This window comes from Homo sapiens, chromosome 22, assembly GCF_000001405.40.
Source record: "Homo sapiens chromosome 22, GRCh38.p14 Primary Assembly".
In the NCBI taxonomy this organism is placed as follows: domain Eukaryota; kingdom Metazoa; phylum Chordata; class Mammalia; order Primates; family Hominidae; genus Homo; species Homo sapiens.
The window spans coordinates 37,893,631-37,921,011 of record NC_000022.11 but is presented as its reverse complement, the minus strand read 5'-3'; the positions used below and the strand labels follow the sequence as shown (position 1 = coordinate 37,921,011).

The 27,381-nt window shown below is 53.3% G+C and overlaps 1 protein-coding gene across 12 annotated transcripts in view, besides 14 other annotated features; it reads right to left on the bottom strand.

The window, feature by feature from the left end:
* Positions 1-14,715, bottom strand: part of MICALL1 (MICAL like 1) — a 36,526-nt gene extending 21,811 nt beyond the window's left edge. For 9 of the 12 annotated variants that reach the window (XM_011530471.3, NM_001410818.1, XM_011530472.3 and 6 more), the window contains exons 1-5: positions 14,444-14,715; positions 9,012-9,060; positions 8,520-8,661; positions 3,217-3,305; positions 1,834-1,976 (exon numbers count right to left, since the gene is read on the bottom strand). In XM_011530471.3, coding sequence (XP_011528773.1) covers positions 1,834-1,976; positions 3,217-3,305; positions 8,520-8,661; positions 9,012-9,060; positions 14,444-14,589 — 569 coding nt within the window. In that variant the 5' untranslated portion in view covers positions 14,590-14,715. Of the gene's footprint in view, positions 1-1,833; positions 1,977-3,216; positions 3,306-8,519; positions 8,662-9,011; positions 9,061-13,533; positions 14,182-14,443 lie in introns of those variants that run through there. The other 3 variants (XM_047441554.1, XM_017029026.2, XM_047441555.1) reach the window with 3 other exon arrangements.
* Positions 1,645-2,144: an enhancer, noted in NCBI's record as "H3K4me1 hESC enhancer chr22:38314875-38315374 (GRCh37/hg19 assembly coordinates)". NCBI's record gives its function as "activates a minimal SCP1, AML or CMV promoter by ChIP-STARR-seq in primed H9 embryonic stem cells {active_cell/tissue: H9 hESC(primed)}" and the evidence as "EXISTENCE:reporter gene assay evidence [ECO:0000049][PMID:30033119]".
* Positions 2,145-2,646: an enhancer, noted in NCBI's record as "H3K4me1 hESC enhancer chr22:38314373-38314874 (GRCh37/hg19 assembly coordinates)". NCBI's record gives its function as "activates a minimal SCP1, AML or CMV promoter by ChIP-STARR-seq in primed H9 embryonic stem cells {active_cell/tissue: H9 hESC(primed)}" and the evidence as "EXISTENCE:reporter gene assay evidence [ECO:0000049][PMID:30033119]".
* Positions 2,908-3,070: a silencer, noted in NCBI's record as "fragment chr22:38313949-38314111 (GRCh37/hg19 assembly coordinates)". NCBI's record gives its function as "represses an EF-1alpha promoter that drives an FKBP-Casp9 reporter gene in an ReSE screen in phorbol 12-myristate 13-acetate-treated (for megakaryocytic differentiation) K562 erythroleukemia cells {active_cell/tissue: K562(+PMA)}" and the evidence as "EXISTENCE:reporter gene assay evidence [ECO:0000049][PMID:32094911]".
* Positions 3,443-3,943: an enhancer, noted in NCBI's record as "H3K4me1 hESC enhancer chr22:38313076-38313576 (GRCh37/hg19 assembly coordinates)". NCBI's record gives its function as "activates a minimal SCP1, AML or CMV promoter by ChIP-STARR-seq in naive H9 embryonic stem cells {active_cell/tissue: H9 hESC(naive)}" and the evidence as "EXISTENCE:reporter gene assay evidence [ECO:0000049][PMID:30033119]".
* Positions 9,980-10,773: an enhancer, noted in NCBI's record as "H3K27ac-H3K4me1 hESC enhancer chr22:38306246-38307039 (GRCh37/hg19 assembly coordinates)". NCBI's record gives its function as "activates a minimal SCP1, AML or CMV promoter by ChIP-STARR-seq in primed H9 embryonic stem cells {active_cell/tissue: H9 hESC(primed)}" and the evidence as "EXISTENCE:reporter gene assay evidence [ECO:0000049][PMID:30033119]".
* Positions 12,763-13,576: an enhancer, noted in NCBI's record as "H3K4me1 hESC enhancer chr22:38303443-38304256 (GRCh37/hg19 assembly coordinates)". NCBI's record gives its function as "activates a minimal SCP1, AML or CMV promoter by ChIP-STARR-seq in primed H9 embryonic stem cells {active_cell/tissue: H9 hESC(primed)}" and the evidence as "EXISTENCE:reporter gene assay evidence [ECO:0000049][PMID:30033119]".
* Positions 13,577-14,392: an enhancer, noted in NCBI's record as "H3K27ac-H3K4me1 hESC enhancer chr22:38302627-38303442 (GRCh37/hg19 assembly coordinates)". NCBI's record gives its function as "activates a minimal SCP1, AML or CMV promoter by ChIP-STARR-seq in naive H9 embryonic stem cells {active_cell/tissue: H9 hESC(naive)}" and the evidence as "EXISTENCE:reporter gene assay evidence [ECO:0000049][PMID:30033119]".
* Positions 14,163-14,272: a silencer, noted in NCBI's record as "silent region_13704". NCBI's record gives its function as "represses an Ori minimal core promoter by ATAC-STARR-seq in GM12878 lymphoblastoid cells {active_cell/tissue: GM12878}" and the evidence as "EXISTENCE:reporter gene assay evidence [ECO:0000049][PMID:35858748]".
* Positions 14,383-15,102: a silencer, noted in NCBI's record as "silent region_13703". NCBI's record gives its function as "represses an Ori minimal core promoter by ATAC-STARR-seq in GM12878 lymphoblastoid cells {active_cell/tissue: GM12878}" and the evidence as "EXISTENCE:reporter gene assay evidence [ECO:0000049][PMID:35858748]".
* Positions 14,383-15,208: a biological region, named in NCBI's record as "H3K27ac-H3K4me1 hESC enhancer GRCh37_chr22:38301811-38302626".
* Positions 14,393-15,208: an enhancer, noted in NCBI's record as "H3K27ac-H3K4me1 hESC enhancer chr22:38301811-38302626 (GRCh37/hg19 assembly coordinates)". NCBI's record gives its function as "activates a minimal SCP1, AML or CMV promoter by ChIP-STARR-seq in primed H9 embryonic stem cells {active_cell/tissue: H9 hESC(primed)}" and the evidence as "EXISTENCE:reporter gene assay evidence [ECO:0000049][PMID:30033119]".
* Positions 15,209-16,024: an enhancer, noted in NCBI's record as "H3K27ac-H3K4me1 hESC enhancer chr22:38300995-38301810 (GRCh37/hg19 assembly coordinates)". NCBI's record gives its function as "activates a minimal SCP1, AML or CMV promoter by ChIP-STARR-seq in primed H9 embryonic stem cells {active_cell/tissue: H9 hESC(primed)}" and the evidence as "EXISTENCE:reporter gene assay evidence [ECO:0000049][PMID:30033119]".
* Positions 21,483-22,249: an enhancer, noted in NCBI's record as "H3K27ac-H3K4me1 hESC enhancer chr22:38294770-38295536 (GRCh37/hg19 assembly coordinates)". NCBI's record gives its function as "activates a minimal SCP1, AML or CMV promoter by ChIP-STARR-seq in naive H9 embryonic stem cells {active_cell/tissue: H9 hESC(naive)}" and the evidence as "EXISTENCE:reporter gene assay evidence [ECO:0000049][PMID:30033119]".
* Positions 25,771-26,415: an enhancer, noted in NCBI's record as "H3K27ac-H3K4me1 hESC enhancer chr22:38290604-38291248 (GRCh37/hg19 assembly coordinates)". NCBI's record gives its function as "activates a minimal SCP1, AML or CMV promoter by ChIP-STARR-seq in primed H9 embryonic stem cells {active_cell/tissue: H9 hESC(primed)}" and the evidence as "EXISTENCE:reporter gene assay evidence [ECO:0000049][PMID:30033119]".

Sequence of the window (27,381 nt, the reverse complement as noted above, 5' to 3'; positions counted from 1 at the left end):
GGCTCAAGTGATCCTCCTGCCTCAGCCTCCCAAATGCCTAAGACTACAGGTGCGTGCCACTACACTAGGCTAATTTTTTTTTTTTTGAGACGGAGTCTCAGTCTGTCGCCCAGGCCGGAGTGCAGTGGCGTGATCTCGGCTCACTGCAAGCTCTGCCTCCCAGGTTCACACCATTCTCCTGCCTCAGCCTCCCGAGTAGCTGGGACTACAGGCGCCTGCCACCACCATGCCCGGCTAATTTTTTTTGTATTTTTAGTAGAGACGGGGTTTCACCGTGTTAGCCAGGATGGCTTCGATCTCCTGACCTCGTGATCCACCCGCCTCGGCCTCCCAAAGTGCTGGGATTACAGACATGAGCCATTGCGCCTGGCCTAATTTTTTTTTTTTTTAATTTTTTTGTAGAGATGAAGTCTCATTATGTTGCCCAGGCTAGTCTTAAACTCTGGGCCTCAAGCGATCCTCCAGCCTCAGCCTCCGAAAGTGCTGGGATTATAGGCATGAGCCACCACCACACCCAGCTCCGGCCTGTAAAAAGTTTCTAAAACACTGCCCTGGTAGCCAGATGTGACTGTGTTGGTAGAGTCTGTTTCCTCCTCGAGATTTTTCCCCATGACACCCCAATTCTGCGGTCAGGTTCCAGGGTTCCAGCACCAGCTGCCCCCCACTCAGGGGCACACTCAACCAGATCAAGTGCGTGCTGCCACTCCCGGCTTCCTTGACTGTTCAATTTCCTCTTTTGGTTTCATTTTTGAAACATATAAAATGTTTCCATGAATTTTCTAAGTTTTTTTACTTTCCTTGCTGCTTATACCACTCTCTTAAAATCTGGCTTCCCTTGGAAGCCACATACTTAAAGCAAGTTGTTACTGTAATTTTTTAAAACTTCAAGCAGAACATGGTAGCACATGCCTGTAGTCCCGATTACTTGGGAGGGTAAGACAGGAAGATCACTTGAGCCAAGGAGGTTGAGACCAGCCTGGGCAACATAGTAGACCCATCTTAAAAGAAAAAAAGATTTTTTTTTTGAGACAGAGTCTCGTTCTGTCGCCCAGGCTGGAGTGCAAAGGTGCGATCTCAGCTCACTGCAACCTCCACCTCCTGGCTTCAAGTGATTCCTGCCTCAGCTTCCCGAGTAGCCGGGATTACAGGTGCCCACGACCACACCCAGCTAATTTTTGTATTTTTAGTAGAGATGAGGTTTCACCACGTTGATCAGGCTGGTCTCAAACTCCTGACCTCAGGGTGATCCACCTGTCTCGGCCTCCCAAAGTGCTGGGATTACAGGCGTGAGCCACCATACCCGGCCAAAAAAAAATTTTTTAAGCTAAAATATTTCATTTTATTTTTTCAATGGCCTTTTTTTTTTTTTTTTTTTTGAGACAGAGTCTCGCTCTGTCACCCAGGCTGGAATGCAGTAGCACGATCTCGGCTTCCTGTAACCTCTGCCTCCCGGGTTTGAGCGATTCTCCTGCCTCAGCCTCTCGAGTAGCTGGGATTAGAGGTGTGCACCACCATGCCCGGCTAATTTTCAATGGCTTTTAAAGTACACGTGGCTTTTAAAGTGCTCCTTCATCCTCATCCAGTAGTTATCCTCAAAAAGCGTAGGCGCTGGAAGGAAAACCCCTGTGCTCTAACCCTGTTTCTGTCTCGAATCATGTGGCTGAGCAACTGCTTTTCCCCTCACTAAGCCTTGGTTTGCTCATCAGTAAAATGGGGATAAGCCAGGGGCTCTGGTGTGAAGGGCCTGGCAAGGTGCCTGGCGCACTGTGTGTGCTGAACCCACGGTAGCCCCCTCCCTGGTTTCGGGGGTAACACGCGGCCCTGGCCACTCACCGGAAGCAGTGGCGATGGTACAGCCTGCCGTCAGCCAGGTAGCGCTGCACCAAGTGCACATGCTGCTGGCAGGCTGCGCACGTGCTGCTGGGGGTCTGGCCGGTGCCCTGCTCTGACAGGCTGCCTGAGGAGAGCTCCTCGCCCTGCAGAGAACGAGGTGGGGGAGGTTGGGAGCAGGACATGGTCACCAGCCATCCTGTTCACATCACTGCCCTCTCCCTCCCTCCAACGGCCACCGTCACTCAAGTGTGCACCAGGCTTCGTGGTGGAAATGGACTTCATCAGGGCCCCAGGAGGGGCAGAGGGCAGGAGGCTGCCACTGTCTCCCAGGTGAGGAAGCCAAAGCCCAGAACGGAGGAAAGCCTTGTTCAAGGTCACTGAGCCAGTGCGGAAACACGAAAATCCTGACTTCCGGTTTCTGAGGCTTCCCTCCCCAAAGGAAGGCAGCTCCTGGCTGTGCAGCCCCTTCCCCTTGGCGGCTCCTGCCCCCTCCTCCTCCCCTTTGCGGGGGAGCCCCCCTGACAGGTTCCTGTCCTCCCAGGCCGACCTCAGCTGCCTTTTCTGTTCTCTCCTAGAACTGCCACGGATTTAAATCCCAGTTTCTCTACATCCAAGCACAGTGAACCTGAGCAAGCTGCTCAAGTGTGGGCTTGGGTCCCACCTGCAGAATGAAACTGTATAACCCCTGCCAGCCTCAGCCCCATGTACCCTCATGGAGCACCCACCCTGGGGCTAGCTCCCTCCAGCAAAGAGCAGATGGGAGCAGGAGGGGAAGGCCCTTTACACACTGTAAGGTGCCGTCCAGATGTGAAGGGCTGGTGTCACTTCCTCTAAGCCCTTCAAACAGGTGACTGGCAGTTGGCCCCCACTTCCTTACTAAGTAACCTTGGACAAATGACTAAACCTCACTGAGCCTCAGTTTCCTCATCTGTATACCAGGGCCCATAATGCTGACCTCCCTGGGTTGTTGAGAGGATTAAAGGAAATCAAGCCGGGAAGTTTACAGCTGTCTCCACAGGAATCAAGGGGAATCTTTGCTTTACTACGTGTGTAACTCCTGACAGTCCCATGATGGTGAAGTCAGCATTGTGGACTGCCCTCTCTCCCCTTGCCAGAGCTGGCATCTCCTGACCCCACCTGAGTCCTGGAGAAGGAGGTAGGGCTCCCTGCCCATAGAACGGGACTGGCCTCCTGACCCATGCCTCACTGCCCCAGTCAGGGACACCTGTTCCCAAAGCCAATAGGGCAGGGACAGAGAACAAGCACCCTCTGAACACTGTCAGGGCTAACTTCCTCACATGACCCAGTCACTGCAATGATAGTCGTCCACATAACTCGCCCCCTCCACCCCTGGCCCTCCCACCTCTCCAGGTATCTGCCTACCTGAGCCACATCTTCTGGTTCCACTGGAGTGGGTGCTACAGACGGCGGGGAACAGGGTGCAAGGCCCTTTCTGGGTGGCGAGACACCAGCTGCCAAGAGATGAGAAAGGGGTCCTGAAGCAGGTGGAGATCCTGGAGTCCCAGGAGGTCCCAACCTGGCTGAAGATTTGAGACCTGTAGCCATCACCTAAAGGCAGACCACCTAATGCAGTGGGACAGGAGCTGGCTCCCGCTTCACACGGGCCCGGGGACGCTTCCAGTTTTAAGCCAAGTGCTGAGGGCAAGCCATGAACCTCACTGAACCTCCATCAAATGGGGAGAGTGACTCCTACTGCACAGAGCCAATCCGAACAATGGCGCAACAGTACGATCACAGAACACAGCACCCGCGTGTGGCTACACCAGCAGCTTCCCTGCCACCAGGGTAGAGGAGGTGAAGGAAAGGAAAAGAAAGGAACCATATGGTGCTGCCCTGACAGCTCAGGAAAGGCGCTGCCTCCTTGGGGTTGACAAGGAGCTGTCCTGCCTATCCCCAAGTGGGTATTGGGGGCCAGAACCCGGCCTGCACACCCCCTCACCAGAACAAACCCACCCACCCTGGGTTCCTCTAAGACTCAGCTCCTCAGGCCGGGCACAGTGGCTCACGTCTATAATCCCAGCACTTTGGGAGGCTGAGGTGGGTGGATCATTTGAGGTCAGGAGTTCAAGACCAGCCTGGCCAACATAGTGAAACACCATCTCTACTAAAAATACAAAAATCAGCTGGACATGGTGGTGCGCGCCTATAATCACAGCCACTCAGCCACTCGGAAGGCTAAGGCAGGAGAATCGCTCGAACCTGGGAGGTGGAGGTTACAGTGAGTTGAGATCGCGCCACTGCACTCCAGCCTGGGCAACCGAGCAAGACTCTGTCTCAAAAAAAGAAATAAATTCAATAACACTATGGTTGGTGCCAGGAGTGGCTCCAGCTGACTGGGGAGAGGCCCTTAGAAGCCACATGAAGAAGCTGGACTTCATCCTGACATTACTCCCCAACCCCTTTCTGATTTCCCACAGCCACTCGGCTTCCTTCACTCCTGCCCTGGCTCCCTGAGCAGGCTGCAGCTCCTCCAGGGTGGGGGTCTGTCTGTTGTGCCCGGGGTCACTGGCACCCACTGAGCGTGGTGGCACAGCTGAACACTCAGCACAGCACCACGACATCTCAGCCAGGGGCAGGCTCCAAACTTACCCAGTCTGGTAAAAAGTCAAGGCTAGTCAAAGTCACTCTTGAAATGCCTCCACTCGCCCAGAAAGTACAGTACAGGACCATCTGGGGGAGTCGAACAGCCAGCTTTGCCTCCAGAGTTGGAACACATCACTGTTTCCTTTGCTTAAGCAGCAGATGGGATAAAAATGGTTTGCATTTAGGGGCCAAGTTGTATGAAAGGCACAAACTGTACCTTTTCTTTTTTATTACAAAAGGCAGATTTATTAGAGAAGGTATGAAAATACATTGCGAGGCTGAAAATACAGGCAGCATAACAAAGGACTGTCTGCCACAAACTGTACCTTTATCAATGAGAATCCCTGCAGGGCGAGGGAGTGCCCATGCCCACACTCAGCACGGTAAGCTGTGCCCACCAGGGCTGCCCCTGCCCACCAGGCTGCCCAGAGAGGGCCAACGAATGAGCTGCGTACCACCAACAGCTGCCCACACCCCACCCACCCCGCAGAGTCCCAGAGATGAGCTCAGTAGAGAGAGATTCAGGTTTGGCCACAAGGAAGGCCGCAGGCTAAGGCTGAATTGCGATTCTAAGGAATCCAGCTAAACGCTAATCAGTGAAATAAGAAGTAGTAAGAATACTAATCTTGGCTGGGCGCAGTGGCTCACACCTGTAATCCCAGCACTTTGGGAGGCCAAGGTGGGTGGATCACTTGAGGTCAGAAATCCCAGACCAGACCGGCCATCATAGTGAAACCCTATCTCTACTAAAAATACAAAAATTAAGCCAGGCGTGGTGGTGCGCACCTGTAATCCCAGCTACTTGGGAGACTGAGGCATGAGAATCGCTTGAACATGGGAGGCAGAGGCTGCAGTCTGCCAAGGTTGTGCCACTGAGCTCCAGCCTGGATGACACAGCGAGACTCTGTCTCAAAAAAAAAAAAAAAAAAGAATACTAATCTAAATAGGTGCCAAACACTGGTTTATACATTTCCTCATTTACTCCTCAAGTCAACCCTGTGAGATGGGTGTTATTCCTATCCTCACTGCAAAAGGGAAACTGAGGCAGAGTGGTTAAATAACTGACCCATGGTCACCCAAAGAGGAAATGGCAGAGTGAAAATTTTGAGTCCATGCTCTTAACCCCAACCTTAGACTGCCTCTCACCAGAGCCTCTGGGGTCTGGAAATACTTTCATTTTGTTTTCTATTAAAATATACATAATGTTATTTGTTCAATTATTTTAATCCCTAGTGTTACATCAGGGGGAAGGGGTATAAGACATTATTTTAATTTTTCTGCTTTTGCCATGTTCTAAATTTTCTTGTTTATTTTTTCTGTTTAGGGATGGGGTCTCGCTCTGTTGCCCAGGCTGCAGTGCACTGGCGTGATCATAGCTCACCGCAGCCTCAAACTCCTGGCCTCAAGCAAACCTCCCATCTCAACCTCCCATGTAGCTAGGACTACAGGTGTGCCACCACTATGCCTGGTTAATTTTTTTATTTTTATTTTGGTAGAGACAGGTTCTTGCTATGTTGCCCAGTCTGGTCTCAACAGCAATCCACCTGCCTCGGCCTCCCAAAGTGCTGGGATTACAGGCATGAGCCACTTCACCCGGCTATTTTTTCTTTTTTTCCTAAAGTTATTTATTTATGGCTGGGCATAGTGGCTCATGCCTGTAATCCCAGCACTTTGGGAGGCCGAGAAGGGTAGATCCCTTGAGCTTAGGAGTTCAAGACCAACCTGGGTAACATGGTGATACTCCACCTCTACAAAAAATATAAAAGTTAGCTGGGTGTGGTTGCATGCACCAGTAGTCCCAGCTTCTCAGTAGGCTGAGATAGGAGGATCACCGCAGCCCAGGAAGGTTGAGGACGCATTGAGCTGTGATCATGCCACTGCACTCCAGCCTAGGCAACACAACAGAGTAAAACCCTGTCTCAAAAAAAATACACATATATGTGCGTGTGTGTGTGTGTGCGCGCACGCATATATACACATAATATATGTACATATATATGTATATGCATGTATATATATACATATATATATATAATGAAAGAAAAGATGGCTGGGTGCAGTGGCTCATGCCTGTAATCCCAGCACTTTGGGAGGCTGAGGTGGGTGGATCACCTGAGGTCAGGAATTCGAGACCAGCCTGGCCAACATGGTGAAACCCCGTCTCTACTAAAACTACAAAAATTAGCCGGGTGTGGTGGCGGGTGCCTGTAATCCCAGCTACTTGGGAGGCTAAAACAGGAGAATCGCTTGAACCCGGGAGGTAGAGGTTGCAGTGAGCTGAGACCGCGCCATTGCACTCCAGCCTGGGCAAGAAGAGTGAAACTCCATTTCAAAAAAAAAAAAGAAAGAAAAGAAAAGAAACCTCTGACTTCATAAAACACTTTAAAGAGTTGGGCCAGGGCCGGGCGCAGTGGCTCATGCCTGTAATCCTACCACTTTGGGAGGCCGAGGCAGGTGGATCGCCTGAGGTCAGGAGTTTGAGACCAGCCTGGCCAAAGTGGCGAAACCCCATCTCTACTAAAAATACAAAAATTAGCCGGACATGTTGGTGCATGCCTGTAATCCCAGCTACTCAGGAGGCTGAAGCAGGAGAATCACTTGAACCCCGAGGGCAGAGGTTGCAGTAAGCCGAGATCGCGCCATCGCACTCCAGCCTAGGCAACAAGAGCAAAACTCTGTATCAAAAAAAAAAAAAAAAGAGTTGGGCCAGAACTGTCTAGACCGACAGCAGAGGCAGGAGGGAGGGGCTGAAATGGGCTCTACTCAGACCCAGGGACAGCAGGAATCCAGCGTTGGATTCAGGACACCTGGATTCTCAACCCAGCTGTTCAGTTTGTCTGCTGTGTGATCTTGAGCTCCTTGCTTCCCCTCTCTAGGCCTATCTCATCTCTGCAGAAGGGGAGGCCCAGCTACCTGCAAGGGAGGTCCTTGCATGGGAATGCCCAGTGACCTCACTCAGAACCGAGTCACTTTGTAGCCCCTGCAACTCTGGTTCCCCAGTTCCCCAGCCTCTCAGCTCTCAGTCACTTCTGTGGAAGACAGCACAGCAGCCTCACCAGACAGAGCCACTTCCCTGCTGGAGGAAAAACCCAAGGAAGTGTCTGCAAACAGGAAGTGAGGGTGGGTGCCGGGGAGGTGGACTCCATGCAGCGGATGAACGCAACCTGCTGTGTCTCCTCTGATATGATTGTGTTCATTTTCTGGTGGGTGTGTTTGGTGTCTATCTCCCCCACGGGACTTCAGCAGTGATTACATTCACAGCTGCATCCCCAGAGCCCAGCACAGGCTCTTTTACTCAAGATATATGTCAGGCCGGGCACCAGTGGCTCACGTCTGTAGTCCCAGCACTTTTGGAGGCTGAGGCGGGCAGATCACCTGAGGTCAGGAGTTCAAGACCAGCCTGGCCAACATGGTGAAACCTCATCTCTACTAAAAATACCAAAAATTAGCCAGGTGTAGTGGTGGGTGCCTGTAATCCCAGCTACTCAGGAGGCTGAGACAGGAGAATTGCTTAAACTCAGGAAGCGGAGGTTGCAGTGAGACAAGATCGTGCCATTGCACTCTAGCCTGTGCAACAAGAGTGAAACTCCGTCTCAAAAAAAAAAAAAAAGTGGGACTGGGCACAGTGGCTCACGCCTGTAATCCCAGCACTTGGGGAGGCCAAGGCGGGCAGATCACGAGGTCAAGAGTTTGAGACCAGCCTGGCCAACATAGTGAAACCCTGTCTCTACTAAAGACACAAAAAATTAGCCGGGCGTGGTGCCGGGTGCCTGTAATCCCAGCTACTTGGGAGTCTGAGGCAGGAGGTTAAACCCAGGAGGCGGAGGTTGCAGTGAGCCGAGATCGTGCCATCGCAATCCAGCCTGGGTGACAGGGCAAGACTCCATCTCAAAAAAAAAAAGAGCGAAACTCTGTCTCAAAAAAAAAAAGAAATATTTCAATGAGTGAATTAATGAATAAGTAAATGAATGACACACTCCTCAGCAGCCTGTTTACAACTCAGAAAACCAGTAGCAAGCATCAGACATCCCCAGGGCCACCCCCTGGGCCAGCCTCCGTGAAACGCTGAGTCCCCCTCTCACCTTGGCCAGGACTGCAGAAGTGGTTGTAATACTGGGACACATAGGTCATGATGCTGAGGCAGTCAGGGACGCTCATGGAGACCATGTCATTGGGGTCCAGGAGAGCGGGGATCCCCAGCTCCTTCTCAGCCACTTCAAAGGCCTGGGGTGGTGACAGGTACAAGGGCGGGAGCAGCCGAAGCAGGAAGAGGAGGAGGCGTTAGGGGGCGACCCCTCAGCCTAGGCCCAGCTCCCTTCAGTGGGATGGGGTGACTGTGGGCTCCCCTCAGTATTAATCCCACCCAAGCACCACAGGATGGCCTGGAGAAAGGGGAAGCCTGGTGCTCCATGCATGAGGAGGCTGGTGGGAAGCAGAGGGTGGGGAAAGGTGCAGCCAGGGCCGGTGTACAAGGGCAGCCACCGTGCAAGACCCCTGCCCTCCCCACCAAACACACACACACACACACACACATACACAGAGCCTCTTGGGCTTCCACCTGTCCGGGAACTTACCAAACGGTTATTCTCGAAGACATTGTCCTTGGAAAGCGAATCAAAATCTCTGCAAGAGGCAAAGGGAGGAGGGTTGGTCAAGAGGGGAGGTGACTGGGAAATAGGGGCGGGGTCAGAGTCAGAAAGGAGCTGAACAGAGAAGACCTTGTCCCAGCCAGCATCAACCTCAGCAGGGTTGCTGGGGGGGAGTCTGTGGATTACTAAGGGGGAAACTGAGGCAGCAAACATTCGCTGCTAGAGCTGGAGCTGCCAGGGCAGGGCAGGGCATGAGATCACGGGCCCTGGAGGCATCCAAGCAGAGGCTAGGAAATCACTGGGAAGGGGTGAGGCTCAAGCCCAGGCTTTCAAGCTTAAGATCCTTTGCCTCTCTGCAGGAAGCCACCCCTGGAGTCCGTGGCAAAGACATAACTAAGACCCGCATGTGACCTCCCCCAGGGCGCAGTGCTGGGCTCCTCTGTCTCATTTACTTTCTTTTCACAGCAACTCTGTTTGGCAAGAATTGATCTCATTTTATAGATGAGGACACTGAGGCCTGGAGAAAGGAAGCCACCAGCCCTGGGAATCCACATGTCTGGCCCTCCCACTGCTCACAGGCCCCTGCAGGTGTGTCACACACTCGGAGTAGCCACACCAACTTGCTGCATCCCAACCCGGTCCAGCCTGCAGATGAATGTTTTTCTTAATGGGGCCGTGAATAGAAGAACAAGTTTGAACCAGAGTGGAAATGTACATACTCCGGAGCTGCTGGCATAGAACAGCTGGTTGGCCCCACTGGGCCACTCCTGGGGCAGCCTCCATTGGGGAAGCAGTGAGGGATTTTCTAAACTAGGAAAGGTGAGAGGTGGCAGGGCCTGTCTGGGGGCCCCAGCACGGGACAGCTGGCTGGCCTGCAGGCTTTATTTATCCCCCTCCTCCCTCCCCACTCCAGGCCGCTGAAACCAGCAGAGACAGCTCAGTCTTCCCGCCGGGCAGCCTCCTGGGTGCATCCGCATGCAGCCTTGCCCTTCTATGGCTGAAAACTGCAGCCCTGACTGCCGGAGATGGGTGGGCAGAGGCAAGAGCAGGCCACGCCGCCTCTGAGGGCTGAATTCCCATGTGACCATGGGGTTGGGGGGATCAGCAGTCCTTCCAGCATTCATTGTCCCATGTGCAAATCAGGAAAAGCACTAATACCACCTCCCAAGCTGGTGGAGTCCCAGCTTGGTAAAGGGCAGGCCTCGCAGATATGAGGGAGCCAGGTAAGCACAGCCCCCTCCTCCTGCCCCCAACACTTTTCCAGGCAGGGGCCAGGGACTGTGAACCCTGGGCAGGAAAGAGTTGCTTGAGGACCTTGGAAGGGGTCTGGTGCCCCAGGGCTGGGTGGACGGGGAGAGGCAAGGTGACTATGTCTGGGCACCAGCTCCCTTTTTGCCACTCTGACCAGGCCACTTCCTTCTCCCCTGGGCTGCCTCCCTAGCTCCCCTTTTCTGCCACTGCCTCAGAGTGCGACCTTAGCAAGGTGTTTCACCTCTCGAAACCTCTGTCTCCCGGTCCGGTTCAGGACACTGCAACAGGGCGAGGAAAACACCATGGTACCCAGCCCCCAACAGAGGCTTTTTCCAAGACCAAATGAGACAAAAGCAACTTGTCTCAGCCGTTTATTTCGGTCACCCCAGAAGTGTTCCAAGAAGGCTGGGGTCACATTCTAGCTACTCTGTGCCCCCAACTCCCTACACAGTTCCCCAAATTTCGAAGATGCTCCGTAAATGTTTGTTGAATGAATCAATGTTGAAAACAGTGTGAAAACTGTAAAAAACCTTCAGGATCCTGCAGGTTTTCTTCCACCCCCATCTCTGTCCCTAATTAACATCTGTGTTTTGGTAACACATATATTTTCTGAGAGTCTTCAGAGGCCTGCGGAGTTCTACTTGGCTCTGGGGAAGATGAAGGACACAGAAATGAAACCCACATGGTCCACGCCCTCAAAGGAGCTTAAGCATGTCTGGATTTCGGGTGGTGCGGAGGGATGGCCCAGCCCCCACAACCCTCGTCCCAGCAGAGCCCTGGGCCAACACTGGGTTCACCCAGGCAGGGCCCACAGCCCCAGAAGCCTGAACCAATTTAGGAGATGATTCTTGCCCTCACTCTAGGCCACTCCTATTCTCACGGAGATCCTCCCAACCCATCACTGAGGACTTCCCTACACATTATGTGGGACCTGGGCCTCAGCTTCTCTCCTGTGCAATGCGCTGGCAATATTGCAAATGAATGCCTGGACATGATTCTGGATCTCAGAAGCGGAGCCACCCTCCCCTGCACATTTTTTCCAGCCACATCCCTCCCTTGCTTAAAACCTACGTGGTTGGCCAGGCGCGGTGGCTCACACCTATAATCCCAGCACTTTGGGAGGCCAAGGCAGGTGGATCACGAGGTCAGGAGATTGAGACCATCCTGACTAACACAGTGAAACCCCGTCTCTGCTAAAAATACAACAAATTAGCCAGGCATGGTGGCGGGCACCTGTAGTCCCAGCTACTCGGGAGGCTAAGGCAGGAGAATGGCGTGAACCCAAGAGGTGGAGCTTGCAGTGAGCAGAGATCATGCCACTGCACTCCAGCTTGGCTGACAGAGCGAGACTCCGTCTCAAAAAAAAAAACCTACGTGGCTCGGCCAGGCATGGTGGCTCACGCCTGTAATCCCAGCACTTTGGGAGGCCGAGGCAGGCGGATCACCTGAGGTCAGGAGTTCGAGACCAGCCTGGCCAACATGGTGAAACCCCATCTCTACTAAAAACTACAAAAATTAGCCAGGCATGGTGGTGCGTGCCTGTAATCCCAGCTACTTGGGAGGCTGAGGCAGGAGAATCGCTTGAATCCGGGAGGCAGAGGTTGTGGTGAGCCGAGATCACGCCACTGCACTCCAGCCTGGGTGACAGGCCTCCATCTCAAAAAAACAAAAACAAAAACAAAAAAAACCCTGCATGGTTCCCTGAGGCCCCTATCCATGCTCCTTAGCCAGCAAAAGCAGCTGTCAGCCATCTGTCCCAACTGCATCTCCCAACTCGCTACCTTGTGCTCCCCACTCAGCTACACAGCCTCCAGCTTTGCACACACCTCCCGCCCCTTGCCTTTGCTCAGATGGGGTCCCATGCCAGAACGTCCACCCAGCAGCCCTCACCTGGCTCCTGCCATCTCCTTGAAGACTATATTCTCCCTAGGAGGTCTCCCACCCCCAGCCCTCTGATAGGGTACATGGAATTGCCATCATCGTTTATACACGTTTCCCCTACAGGTGTGGGAGAGCGTGTAGGGTTGCCTGTTTTGTCGATTGGTACTTCCATTACCAGGTACAGTGTCCAGCACAGAGCAATATGACTCTACAAATACTGGTTGAATAAATGAAGAAATCAAACATTGTTATTGGGCCAGGCATGGTGGCTCATGCCTGTAATCCCAGCATTTTGGGAGGCTGAGGTAGGCAGATTACTTGAGCTCAAGAGTTCAAGACCAGCCTGGGCAACATGGTGAAAACCCATCTCTACAAATACAAACAAATTAGACAGGCGTGGTGGCGTGTGCCTGTGGTCCCAGCTACTAGGGAGGTTGAGGTGGGAGGATTGCTTGAGCCCGGGAGGTGGGGGCTGCAGTGAGCCATGACTGTGCCACTGCACTCCAGCCTGGGTGACAGAGTGAGACCCCATCTCAAAAAAATAAAAAACATTAAAAAAAAAAAAAGTAACATTAGTTACTCACAGTAACTAATGTTAAATGAATGCTTGTTATCTCATGCAATCCTCACATTTCTGTGAGCTGTGTCACATTATCAATCCCACCTCACAGATGAGGACACTGATGCCTGGAGAGAGCCCATGAGGACCCAAGGCCATGCGCCTAAGACATGGAGAAGCTAAACACAAACCAGGCGGCCTTTATTTACTTTGATGCCACCAGGCTCAGGCCCACCAAATGGCTTCACTTCACACCCAAGTCCCCTCCCACACTGGGTTTGTCCCTGCTTCCTGCCTCACTCCTGCCCCTCAAACAAAACAGAAGACCCCTTGGGCCCTCCCTTCCAATGCCCAGGTCTAACCCTGGTGCCCTTTTCCTCCATCCTTCTACCCCCTGCTCCTGGGCAACCAGGCATCAACCTTGTGCTTCCATTAGTATGGGTGTCACATGCCCCACAGCGGGCAGGGGCCCACCTACATGACCACCTCATCTTGTTCCCTTCTGTATCCACAGCCCCAAAACCCTCTCCTCCAGGGCCCAAGCCACCACCCACAGACACGGTACTGCAGGGTACATACAGGTAAACCAGGTGCACCTGCATCATGGAATCCTGAGGCAATCCCTTAGAAGCCTTCCCACATGCTGCCCTCGGACAGTGCAAATCTGGAGGTGGAACAGGCACAGAAAGCCTCCATCTGCCAGGCTGGGGGAGCCCTGGCAAGAGGGCTGCATGCGAAAGGGGTAGGGACCAGAACTCTCCTCCCTGATTCACAGGTGAGACCTGAAGTGCAAGGAATGGCACCAGATAAACTCACCCAGTGTTTTAGGAATGAAGGGACGAAAGGAGGAGAGGTTCCAGGGCTCAAGGCAGAGAGAGCAAAGACAGAGGCTCCAAGTCAACTGTTCCGGGGAGTCTGAATGCATTTTCCCATGAGAACCTCATTGGGCAGCTCTGGGCAGGAAGGGGCCATTTCACAACCTGCAGCACCCGGTTGGTGTCTATCAATCGGATCCTAGGAGTCTTCCCAACATTGCCGGCCTGTGACTCCTCTTGCGCGCCCCACCTGCGTGCCCCACTGAGGAGGGCTGCAGGGCCATCGAGCACACACCCGGGAGGCAGGGCTGCGTCCTAAGTTGGGGGGCGTGGGGAAAGCACAGGGTCTGTACATCCATTCATCCAACACCTGTTAGCCGAGGTCTCCTCTGTGCCGGGAACTGTGCTACTGTCCGGAGACAAGCTCCTATTTGGGGGTCAGAGAAGTGGGGGTTCACCTGCACACCCGGAGCAAGGGGCCACCCCGAGTGGGAAGCCTCGGGGGAGAGGGGAGGCCCGGCGAGCCCGTGGAGAAGAGTTTAGGGTAGGAGAGGCCCAGGGCCCCCAAAGAGGGCTCAACACCCCTTCAAAGAGGTCAAGGGCTTAGGGGTTCAGCGATCCTCGGCGGAAATCAGCGCTTTGTGGGCGGGGCCAGTGTCCCCGCGGAGGGACCAGCCTCGGGGGAGAGTTCGGGATCCCACGGGCGGGGTCAGGGCGGCCGGGCGGGGGAGGGGCGCCCTGGGCCGGGGTCTCAGGGACCCGCCCGGCGTCCGGGGCCGTCGGGGGGGTCGGCGTCTCCGTGTCCGGGGGCGGCGCCTGTCACCGCCCGGGCTTCGTGTTACTGAGGGGGGGCGGCGGTCGCGGCCCCAGCCCGCCCCGCGCCGCCCGCTCGCCCGGGGCCCCGCACTCACAGCAGGTCGGGCCGGTGCCGGTGCAGGATGGCGCAGAAGGCCAGGCCGTCCCGGAAGGAGCTGCTCAGGTCGCGGATCTCCACGCCGCGGTAGCCCTCGCACTGGCGGCGGCACCAGGCCAGCAGCGCGCCCCGCGGCCCAGCCATGACCCCGCGGCCCGCCCGGCTCCGGCTCTGGCTTCGGGGCCCCGGCTTGGCCGGGACGGCGGCCGCCGCGCGGGCCCGGTTTCCGGCTGCGGCTGCGGCTCCGAGCTCGGGCGCCGACCGGCAGGCGAGGGGAGGGGCGGAGGCGGGGCCGCGGTGTCCTCGCTCGGGCGCCCCGCGGCCCTGCCCTAACCTGCCCGAGCAGCGCCGCCGCGTGGCCCGGCCCGGCCGGCCGCCGCCTACTCCGCGCTGCCCGCTCGCCTCATTGTGGGCCGGTCGTGGGAGCGGGCGTCCCGCCGCCTCCGTCCGCGCCGGAGGCGCGCCCCACCCAGCAGCAGCTCCGCCTCCAGTGCGGAGCCCACCCCTACCAAGACGGGCCGGCGCCCCATCGCCCGCCCCTCGACGGCGCCGGGCTCCCGCTGCTCCACTGGGTGCCCGCGAAGCCCCCGCACCCGCCGCAAGCGGACCACTCCCCACGATGACTTCACCGCCGCGGCCGCCGCCGCGCCACCCACCGGGAGCCCTCCACCCTTTGGAGGCGGGACACCTCGTGCTCCCATCCGGCCTCCTTCCCGCTCCTAATGACCGCAAATCCCCCCTTCCACCCCTAGCTTGAAACTTTGGGGAGGCAGTTCCCCTGCAGACCTCAGAGCACCCCCCCCCGGATAGCCACCAGCTTCCCTCATCCCGGCTCCCCACCCTAAAGCACCGCTGAGCTGGAAGTTGTCATGTCCACCATCCCCTCCCCCATAGCTTGGCAGGGAGACCCATGCGCCCCTCCGCCACCTTTGGTCCAGGTGTCCCCTAGGTGATTCACTGAGCTCCCCTCAGCCCCTGTGTAAGCTCAGGGATCTCGTCCCTCCCCACTGCGGCCTGCCGGGTCCCCTCAGCCATGGTTAGTGTGGTGGTGGTTTGAGTTCCTATGGGAAGGACCTAGGCCAAGGAGGCCCCTGCCTGGGAGGCATACAGGCAGTTTGTATCTGGCCCTGGAACCTCCCCAAGGCTCATTCTCTATCTTTGCCGTCTTCAAAACCCCCGCCAGCCAACCGACCCTTCCAGCCAGCCAACCCTTCCAGCCAGCCGACCCTTCCGCAGAGGCCCCTCCTGACTCTCCCACAGATGAATCAGCCTCCATCTGCTGCAGAGGTGGTGATGTCACCCTGACCCATGCAATAGTTAGCTGGAGTGGGTATTTCGCTCCCTCCCAAGGGAAGGAACAGGGTCTTAGTCATCTTCATCACCCCTGAGCACTCAGGGGAGTGGAAAGATCAGGCATTTTGGAGCCCTATTAACCCAATCTCCAATCCTGGCTTTCCCCACTCCCTTAGTCATGTGATCTTGTGCCTCCCTGGACCTCAGTTTCCACGACTTAAAAATGGAGATAATACCTGCTTTACAAGGTGGCTGAGAGGATTAAGATGTAAAGTGCCTTACCCTTTAGTTATCACTCATAAATTCTATTGACTCCTGGTACTTGGTAAACATGATGAAATGGACTGAAATATTTTGTACCCAGATTGTCATCTGGGCCATTCTGGGTAAATTATCAAGGAGAGAGGCCGACTTAGGGAATTCTACCTCTTCAAAGTCCACTGAGTCCCAGTCCAGAATACTGGCCCAGGGCCTGGAGAACCCAGCTTGCCAATCTGGGCTGGCCTAACACTCCTGCAACTGGAAGGCCGCCATCTTGGCTCAGTATATGGACTCTCAGGCCACCTAGGAAGAGCATGGCCAGAGTGCCTGGCTAGCCCTCTGGACTTCTCACCAGCCCTGAGCTGCCAACTCCTGCCCTGTCCCCTGTGGGATAACAGTGGCAGGAAAGCAGGATTCCGGATGCTTTTTATGAAATCAGGGACTTGGGTTCAGGATCCTGACACCAGCATCCACCTAGGCCTTCAAAGACCACCCAGGACTCTCATTAAAACCTAAGGGGGGCGGGGTTGGGCACCATGGCTCATACCTGTAATCCCAGCATTTTGGGAGGCCGAGGCAGGTGGATCACCTGAGGTCAAGAGCTTGAGAACAGCCTGGCCAACATAGTGAAACCCCGTCTGTACTAAAAATACAAAAAATTGGGCCAGGCGCGGTGGCTCACTGTAATCCCAGCACTTTGGGAGGCCAAGGTGGGCGGATCATGAGGTCAGGAGTTCAAGACCAGCCTGGCTAAGATGGTGAAAGCCCGTGTCTACTAAAAATAAAAAAATTAGCCAGGCGTGGTGGCACGTGCCTATAGTCCCAGCTACTCGAGAGGCTGAGGCAGGACAATCGCTTGAACCTGGGAGGCGGAGGTTGCAGTGAGCCAAGATCACGCCACTGTACTCCAACCTGGGGGACACAGCGAGACTCCATCTCAAAGATGGTGGGTTTTTTTGGCTCACGCCTGTAATCCCAGCACTTTGGGAGGCCAAGGCAGGCAGATCACGAGGTCAGGAGATCGAGACCAGCCTGGCTAACACGGTGAAACCTCATCTCTACTAAAAATACAAAAAATTAGCTGGGCGTGGTGGCACACACCTGTAATCCCAGCAGGAGAATGGCTTGAACCCGGGAGGTGGAGGACGCAGTGAGCTGAGATCGCACCACTGCACTCCAGCCTGGGCAACAGAGTGAGATTCCATTTAAAAAACAAAAAACCAAAAACAAACAAAAGAAACCAGGAGGGATTATAGCCCTGTCCTCACTAGCCTAAAGGGCTCCCTTTAGGTCCCTGAAGACAGCTCCATATCTGATCCTGTTGCCATACTAATAGCTTACACAGCACAGCCTGGTCACCCCCATTAGCCATTTGTGGGCTTTATAAACTCATTATCTGAGTCAGCTCACAATGTTTCGAAGTAAGGACCTGTACGACCACAGTGTGTGACCGCAGGCCAGACAACTCACCCTCATGAACCCCAATTTCTTACCCTATAAAATGAGGATGATAATACTTGCTTTGCCTGAATCCCAGGGTTGTGGGTAACAAGGTGAGATAATGGATGAGAAAATGCTGTGCAGACTGTAAATCCAGGGTTCAGGTGGAAGGTGGGTCTGTGTGTTTACAGGTGAGATCAGAAGCCACAGAGATAGGTGAGTAGGGCACTTGCCCAAAATCATGCTATAATTTCGGGATTAGAATTGAGAGACTTGGGCCCTTAATTCAGTGCTGTTTTGTTTTATTTTTAACTATCAATTAAGAAATGGGGCCAGGCACGGTGGCTCATGCCTGTAATCCCAACACTTTGGGAGCCAAGGCCAGGAGTTCAAGACTAAACCAGCCTGGGCAATATAGGGAGACCCTGTCTTTTTTTGAGACGAGTCTCTCTCGCCCAGGCTGGAGTGCAGTGGCACGATCTCGGTTCACTGCAACTTTCATCTCCCAGGTTCAAGTGATTCTCCTGCCTCAGCCTCCCTAGTAGCTGGGATTATAGGCATGGGCCACCAAGCTCAGCTAATTTTTGTATTTTTAGTAGAGACACAGTTTCGCCATGTTGGCCAGGCTGATCTCAAACTCCTGAGTTTAAGTGATGTGCCCACCTCAGCCTCCCAAAGTGCTGGGATTACAGGCATGAGCCACCATGCCCAGCCTGAATACATCATTCTTATCAAAAATTTAAAAATAAATCTAAAGTTCCAGTTTGACTGTCTCCTTCAACTCTAGTCCCCTCCTAAGAAGTAGCTGCAGTTGTCGGTGTGAAACAGCCTTCCACACCTTGTTCACACATTTATAGTCAAGCATGGATTCAACAATATTTACTGAGCACCTGTTGGGGGCCAGGAGCTGTAAACAAGTAAACAACAAGGAGGCCGGGCACAGTGGCACACCCTGTAATCCCAGCACTTCGGGAGGCTGAAGCAGGTGGATCACTTGAGGTCAGGAATTCAAGACCAGCCTGGCCCACATGGTGAAAATCCGTCTTTACTAAAAATACAAAAATTAGCCAGGTGTGGTGGCACACACCTGTAATCCCAGCTACTCAGGAGGCTGAGGCAGGAGAATTGCTTGCACCAGGGAGGAGAGGTTGCAGTGAACTGACACTGCGCCACTGCCCTCCAGTCTGGGCGACAAAGTGAGACTCTGTCTCAAAAAACACAAAAAACAAAAAACAGGCTGGGCGCAGTGGCTCACGCCTGTAATCCCAGCACTTTGGGAGGCTGAGGCGGGTGGATCATTTGAGGTCAGTAGTTTGAAACCAGCCTGGTCAACATGGTGAAACCCCATCTCTACTAAAAATACAAAAATTAGCTGGGTGTGGTGTGTGCCTGTAATTCCAGCTACTCGGGAGGCTGAGACAGGAGAATCACTTGAGCCTGGGGAGGCGGAGGTTGCAGTGAGCCAAGATCGTGCCATTGTCCTCCAGTCTGGGCAACAGAGTGAGACCCTGTCTCAAAACAAAACAAAACAAAAACAAGGAGAACCTCAGGTGGTGACTGGTGCTGTGACAGAGAATGATGGGGACAGATAGCATAGCCAGGGAACACCTCTTTGAGATGGTAACATCATTTAGGCTGAAGAACACCTAACTCCCAGGGAAGCAAGCTGAATGCAAACAGGTGAGAGCTGTCAGTATAGGTAGAGTTTGAATCCTTTCTCTCTTTTTTTGAGACAGGGTTTCACTTTGTCTCCCAGGCTGGGTGCACTGGCACAATCACGGCTCACTGCAGCCTCCACCTCCTGGAGTCAAGCGATCCTCCCACCTCAGCTTCCCGAGCAGTTGGCACTAACAGGCATGCACCACCACACCCAGATAATTTTGTTTATTTTTTGTAGAGACGGGAGTCTCACTATGTTGCCCAGGCTGATCTTGAACTCCTGGACTCAAGCAATCCACCTGCTTTGGCCTCGCAAAATGCTGAAGTTATATGCACAAGCCCCTGCATCTGGCTGAATCCTTTCTGATTTCTTCCCAGGTAACAGCTGCAGGTGTCTAGCCATGGGGCAGGATCCTGGCAGGGAAGGACTGGCTAGGCCAGGGAAGGAAACAGTTCCATAAACAATTCTGCCTGTAGCCTAATAAAGGCGGGGAAAAGGAAACCAGAGGAACCACGGGAACCCAAAGGAAGCCCTTGACAGTTTGAGGCAGACGGTCGTGTTTCTCCACACACCATTCTTCCAGCCAACAGGCTTTGTAGCATGGCTTTGCAGGAGGGAGGTACAAAAGCAAGATTAAAAACAAGAACTTGGCCGGGTGCAGTGGCTCACGCCTGTAATCCCAGCACTTTGGGAGGCTGAGGCGGGCAGATCATTTGAGGTCAGGAGTTCAAGACCAGCCTGGCCAACATGGTGAAACCCCATCTCTGCTAAAAATACAAAAATTAGGCCAGACGTGGTGGCTCATGCCTGTAATCCCAGCACTTTGGGAGGCCGAGGTGGGCAGATCATGAGGTCAGGAGATTGAGACCATCCTGGCTAACATGGTTAAACCCCGTCTCTACTAAAACAAATACAAAAATTGGCCGAGCATGGTGGCGGGCGCCTGTAGTCCCAGCTACTCAGAAGGCTGAGGCAGGAGAATGGCGTGAACCCGGGAGGCAGAGCTTGCAGTGCGCCAAGATCGTGCCACTGCACTCCAGCCTGGGCGACAGAGCAAGACTCCATCTCAAAAAATAAAATAAAAAAAAAATTAGCCAGGGGTGGTGGCGGGCGCCTGTAAGCCCAGCTACTCTGGAGGCTGAGGCAGGAGAATTGCTCGAACTCAGAAGGGAGACGTTGCAGTGAGTCAAGATGGTGCCACTGCACTCCAGCCTTGGTGATAGAGTGAAACTCCGTCTCAAAAACAAAACAAAACAACAACAAAAAAAATAAAAACAGGCCGGCACGGTGGCTTACACCTTGTAATCCCAGCAGTTTGGGAGGCCGAGGTGGGCAGATCACCTGAGGTCAGGAGTTCGAGACCAGCCTGGCCAACATGGTGAAATCCCATCTCTATTAAAAATGCAAAATTAGCCAGGCATGGTTGCAAATGCCTGTAATCCCAGCTACTCAGGAGGTTGAGGCAGGAGAATCGCTTGAACCCGGGAGGTGGAGGTTACAGTGAGCTGAGATGCGCCATGGCACTCCATCCTGGGCAACAAGAGCGAAACTCCATCTCGAAAAAAAAAAAAGGCCAAGGTTTAAATGTTTTCCCAACATAGAATCTCATCATCCTTACTTTGGATCCAGTGTGCTGAGAAACATTTTAAGACTCCGTCTCAAAAAAGAAAAAAATTATTTTTTTCACCCATGGAATCTAAAAAAGTTGATCTCATAGAAATAGAGAGTAGAGGCCTGGTGTGGTGGCTCATACCTGTAATCCCAGCTACTTGGGAGGCTGAGGCAGGAGGATCGCTTGAGCCAGGGAGGTGGAGGTTTCAGTGAGCTGTGATTGCACCACTGCACTCAAGCCTGGGTGATGGATTAAGACCCTGTCTCAAAAAAAAAAAAAGAAAAGAAAAGAAAGAAATAGCTAGTAGAATGGTAGTTACCAGGGGCTGGTGGGTAGGGGGAGTGGTTGGGGAGATGTTGGTCAAAGGGTGCAAAATTTCAGTTAGATAGGAGGAATAAGTTCAAAGGATCTATTGTACAATGTGGTGACTATTGTTTGTTTGTTTGTTTGTTTGAGATGGAGTCTTGCTTTGTCGCCCAGGCTGTAGTGCAGTGGTGCGAACTCGGCTCACTGCAAGCTCTGCCTCCCGGGTTCATGCCATTCTCCTGCCTCAACCTCCCCAGCAGCTGGGAATACAGGCGCACACCACCTTGCCCGGCTAATTTTTTTGTATTTTTAGTAGAGGCGGGGTTTCACCATGTTAGCCAGGATGATCTCGATCTCCTAACATCGTGATCCACCTGCCTTGGCCTCCCAAAGTGCTGGGATTACAGGCGTGAGCCACGGCACCCTGCCTATGGTGACTATTGTTAATGACAATACATTGTGGGGTTTTTTGTTTTTTGTTTTTCTGAGACAGAGTCTCACTCTGTTACCCAGGCTAGAGTGCAATGGCATATCTCAGCTCACTGCAACCTCCACCTCCTGGGTTCAAGTGATTCTCCTGCCTCAGCCTCCTAAGTAGCTGGGATTACAGGCACTCGTCACTACGTCTGGCTAATTTTTGTATTTTTAGTAGAGACGGGGTTTCACCATGTTGGCCAGGCTGGTCTTGAACTCCTGACCTCATGATCCACATGCCTTGGCTTCCCAAAATATTGGGATTATAGGCATAAGCCACCCTGCCCAGCCGATTCTAGGATTCTTAGGGTGGAATTCTCCAAGTTCCATGGCTGTTTTCTGTGAATCTGACCACTCTGCTCTTCTCTCTTCTACCCAGTCTGTGCCCCAGGAATCAGGGCCCTGCCCAGGTTCTTGGCTCTGAGCTGCTCCCTGGGGGGCAGCCGGGCAGAGCAGTGGACAATGGAAGCATTGTGGGACCTCTGGAGCTGGGGCCTGGGGCAGTGGAAGGCGCTGGTCGCTGGAGTGGCAGTTGCTTCACCGTGTTCCCTCCTTGCTGGGCCAGAGGCATGCCTAGAACATGCCAGGACGGTACCCTGAGCCCCGCCCCTGCCCGCCTGGGTGAGGCCTGGGTCTTCTGGAATCCCAGCTATGCCTGAGGACAGACAGCTATTCCAAGCCTTTGTTCATAGACCATCCTGCCCTGGCAGATACACATTCTGGAAAATACACCTGGGACTGGGCAAGTGGTCTTGCCTCCCTACCCCAAAACTGAACTATCCTCCAACTAAACCCTCCAGAACAGAGAGGACATGTGCTGGCTCTCACTGGGCGGGTGCTGTCTGAGCTGGGAAACCCTCACACTTGTCTGGGGCTCCACGAGGGGGCAGGTCAAAGAAGCCACTGAAATATCCAAACTGGCAGGGACCCTTATCTAGCAAAGCCCTCTCAGTACACTGAGAGGAGAGACTGGAGCCCAGAGAGCAGAGGTGTTTGCTCCAGGTTGTAGAGACTCTTAGGAGGGGAGCAGGGCCCCCCATCCAGCTGCCCCACACTCTCTATGCTTCTGGCTGCTTGCTGAGGTCTCAGCCTGCCAGGCTCTCTCCCCTTTTGACTGCTCTTGAAATGGCTACTGCTGCTGTTCCAAATTGTCCACAGGCTTTATGACCTAGCTCAGACATCATCCCCTCCCTGAAGCCTTCTGTGATGGGCCCAGACAGAAGCCACAACTTCAGATCTTCTCACAGAATCCCACCCTTAGAGGGGACCTAGAGGGGATGTGCTTGCTAATTTACAGAGGAATTTCCACATGTCTACTACTGGCAGACCAGTGTGGAAGAAGCTCTATAAACAATCACAACGAACAGTCACAGAAAGACAAGGGTAGGGATGTGATGGAGAGAGGGGCCGAATGCTATAGGGCTTCCAGAAGGAGCCTGTCACCTCCTGCCAGGGACTGAGAGACAGCCCAGAGGGCTACATGTAGGAGGTGGCATTTGAACTGTTGCTCACATTGTATGGCATGTATTTGTGCATACCTGTCTCTCTTCATTGGATTGTGACATCATTAATGATACAGTTATGTAACTTTATGAGCACTAACCACACTCTAGACATCATGTGTGTGTTTGTGTGTTGTTTTTGTTGTTAAGGTACATTACCATATTGAATCCTCACAATTCTGTGAGCTAGGAGCTATCTCATTATCCCCATTTACTGATGAGGACAAGGCTCTGAGGGTTCAACAAGCATGTTCAAAGCCACACAGCTGTCAAAACTTGCAGTCACACTTGAAAAATAAAAATAAAAGTAAAATAAAATGAATATAATATGAACATAGCTAACAACAACAACAACAACAAAAAGTGCAGTCAGGACTCAGCCTAGCTATTTTTTTTTTTTTTTTTTTTGTTGCCCAGGCTGGAGTGAAGTGGTGTGATCTCTGCTCACTGCAACCTCCGCCCCCTGGATTCAAGCGATTCAGCCTCCTGAGTAGCTAGCTGGGATTATAGGCGCCTACCACCACGTCGCTAATTTTTGTATTTTTAGTAGAGATGGGGTTTCGCCATGTCGGCCAGGCTGGCCTAGAACTCCTGACCTCCGGTGATTCACCCACCTCAGCCTCCCAAAGTGCTGGGATTACAGGCGTGAGCCTAGCTCTGGCCTCAGCCTAGCTCTTTCTGACTTTACAAAGAACTTTCTTCTGGTGTATGGAGGCAGGCATTGTGTCCAGTTTACCACTGCATGCCTGGTTTTCACTGTAAATTCATTCGTTATCTTCCTGTGAGTTTGGTGAGCAAGAACCCCGCTGGGAGCCCCAGCTCCACAGCCTCTGCAGACCCTGGCTGCACTGAGGCCTTGATCCACGATACCAAAGGCCATTTCAGGACAGAAAGCTCCCAAGGCCTCCAGCCTTTGCTGTCTAGGAACTTCCCATCTCCCCTTCAACTTCAATTATTATTGGTGCTGGGATTTTTCCAGCAGGCCAGCAGGATTGATGTTTGGGTGCTAATGTAGTATTCAAGGCCCTAATAGTTGGGCTCCTGTCACTCTATAGGAGGAGCTCAGGGGCAGAAATTTGGCAGGAAGAAAGGGAAGGAGACTAGAGCCTATAATCCTAGCTAGCTATTCGGGAGGCTGAATTGCTTGAATCTAGGGAACAGAGGTTGCAGTGAGCCGAGATTGCACCACTTCACTCCAGCCTGGGCAAAACAACAACAACAATGACAACAACAAACAGCTAGGCTGAGTCCTGACTTTTATTTTACTTGACTTAGAATTTGGTCTGCATAGCAAGCCCATTGTTTATGATTTGGCTGTAGGTTAAGCCCACTGCTTATGATTTGGCTGTAGGTTTAGGGGGTGCCAGATTATTTGGGGTGGGGGAGCTAGAGCCCTCCCTACTACCCCCTCAGTATCAATCTGGCCTGCTCTGCAGGCAAAGGCAGGCAGAGTGGGAAACAGTTTCTGAGCCTTCCTGACACAGGAAGGTAGCCTCTCCTCTGAGGCCTGAGTGGCAAGGAAGGGGCTGTCAGACACCGGAAGAGGCCTGTTTGTCTCCCAGCTACCTGAGGTCATATGTATATGGTGTTGTGAGCCAGGCAGCTCTTCCTGTTAGAAACAGAAAGTGAGGCTTGTGTTGAAATTCTGGGAGTGAGCTGCTCTTTCCTCTAAATAGAGCAGGGGTTAGACAGGGCACAACTTATCCCCAGGTGATACAATACACCCGGGATGGATATGAGTCATCCCAAACACCTATATCATACCCGAGTTCACTATGCTCGGATTTATGTATTGTTTAGGGACAGGGTCTTGCTCTGTCGCTCAGGCTGGAGTACAGTGGTGTGATCATAGCTCACTGTAACTTTGAACTCGGCTCAAGCAATCCTCCCGACTTAGATTCCCAAGTGGCAAGGACTATAGGCATGCACCACCACGCCTGGCTAATTTTTTAATTTAATTTAATTAATTTATTTTTTTAGGACAGAGTCTCGCTCTGTTGCCCAGGCTGGAGTGCAGTGGCGCCATCTCGGCTCACTGTAAGCTCTGCCTCCCAGGTTCACGCCATTCTCCTGCCTCAGCCTCCCTAGTAGCTGGGACTACAGGCGCCTGCCACCATGCCTGGCTAATTTTTTTGTATTTTTAGTAGAGACGGGGTTTCACTGTGTTAGCCAGGATGGTCTTGATCTCCTGACCTCGTGATCTGCCCACCTCGGCCTCCCAAAGTGCTGGGATTACAGGTGTGAGCCATTGCGCCCAGCCCTCATTTTTTTATTTTTATTTTTGTAGAGACAGGGTCTCGTTATCTTGTCCAGGCTGGTCTCAAACTCCTAGGCCTAAGCAATCCTCCCACCTCAGCCTCCCAAGGTGTTGGGATTACAGGCATGAGCCACTGTGCCAGGCCTATGTTGACACTTAGAAAGACCTAGATAGGGGAGAATTACTCTCCTCATTTGACTATGACAAAGCAGAGGCTCAGAGAAGTTAAGCCAAGTGCCTGGAATTTTCCAGTTTCAAGGGGCAGCGTCAGGGTTTGAACCTAGACTCCCTTCCACTTCCCAACCATGACTAGAGAGTGAAGTCCACCCTCTCAGGATCCACTGGCCCCAGGTAAGAAAGTAGGGGTGGGAGTCAGGGCGTGAAGGAGATAACTTGATCTTAATCAAGTGGCTGGATAGGGGCAGGGTGGGGCCAGAAAGAAAGAAAAGCCAGGTCTTTCAGCTGCAGGCTTGACAGGAATGTGGAGCCACAGGAACCAAGACAAGTTGCTGCTTCCCCTAGCCCTCTCCTTCGGGAAAATCTCAGGAACTTGCTGATCAGGCTTTGGACCTTTCCCTTGCCTCCCTCTCAGCTTCTTCTTGATGCCCTTCCCCCACATTGGAGGCCAGTTCCTGACCCGGGCCACAGCCACTCCAGCCTATATCCAGTCTGCAGGGCAGGCTGGGGGTGGGGACGGGAGGCCACTGTTAGCAAGAGCCAGCGTGGGCACCACGGCTTTCCCTGGCTAAAGGCTGGGCTGGAGAGTACATCCATTCATCAATTCATCTGTGCCGCTACATTCCAGACAGGATTTAAGGCACACTCCAGCCTTATTCCTATACTGATATTGTTGCATTCAATCCTTATTCACTTACTTCCTCTTGCATTCACCATTCATTCAACAGAATCGCTTTACCGAAAGGGTCATTGCTCCCAAGTGCTGCCTCTTTCCTCCTATTAGATCCATTTAGATCCTTAGGATGTCACCCAGAATTCTAGAATGCAGGGCTGCAGCCCCCAGACAGCGGCTAGTCCCACTGCCTCATTTAGAAGATGAAGCCATCCGGAGCCACCTATGGTCAAGGCGATCATAGGAGGAAAAGCACCCCACGCCCCCAACTTGGACTCACAATCCAGTGTAGGAGAAGGATGCAGAGAGGGGGACTGTGTGGAAAGAAGTGTGCCAAGCCCAGGCTGGGCGCAGTGGCTCACACCTGTAATCCCAGCACTTCAGGAGGCCAAGGCAGGCAGATCACCTGAGATCAGGAGTTCAAGACCAGCCTGGCCAACATGGCAAAACCCCGTCTCTACTAAAAATACAAAAATTAGCCAGGCATGGTGGCAGGCACCTGTAATCCCAGCTACTCAGGAGGCTGAGGCAGGAGAATCGCTTGAACCTGGGAGGTGGACGTTGCAGTGAGCTGAGATCATGATATTGCACTCCAGCCTGCGCAACAGGGACAAAACTCCATCTCAAAAAAAAAAAAAAAAAAAAAAGAATAAGTGTGCCAAGCCCACCAGGGACTTGTCTGAGGAGGAACCAGCTCTAGCCTAGGGGCCTGGAGACCAGGGTTCCAGCCCCAGCTGTTCATTGCCTCTGCCCAAATTGTTAGGCCCTGGGCACCTCCACCTGGACGTCCCACAGGCTCCTCAAACTCCTGTTCCTTACCCACTTGCACTTACCTCCTCCAGTCCCAAACCTGCTCCAGCCACCAACCCCCATCTCAGACAGCCTGAGAACTGGGCATCTCACTTCCCTACAGCCTCCACATCCACTCAGCTGCCACATCCAAGTCCTGTCCTCTGCAACCTCCCAATCTCTCCAATTCTCCCCTCATGCCTGCTGCCGACACTGTGCGTGGGGCCCAGCTCCTCCGTGGCTGGCTGCTCTAGACAAGTGCCCTGGCCTCTGTGAATGGGCCTCCACACTGTCTAAACAGGCCTTCTCTTTGGTCCTTGGAGCAGTTAAGAGAGCCCCAGGGGGGAGTCTGGAGGTTTCCAGTCCCAGCTCCACCAGGAAGTAGCCGGGCTGTTCCACACATGACCTGCCTCAGTCATCTATAGCTCTACGGCTCTGGAGGCCAAGGTCATGGCCAGGTAACAATGGCCTCCCTCCCCTTATCACACACTC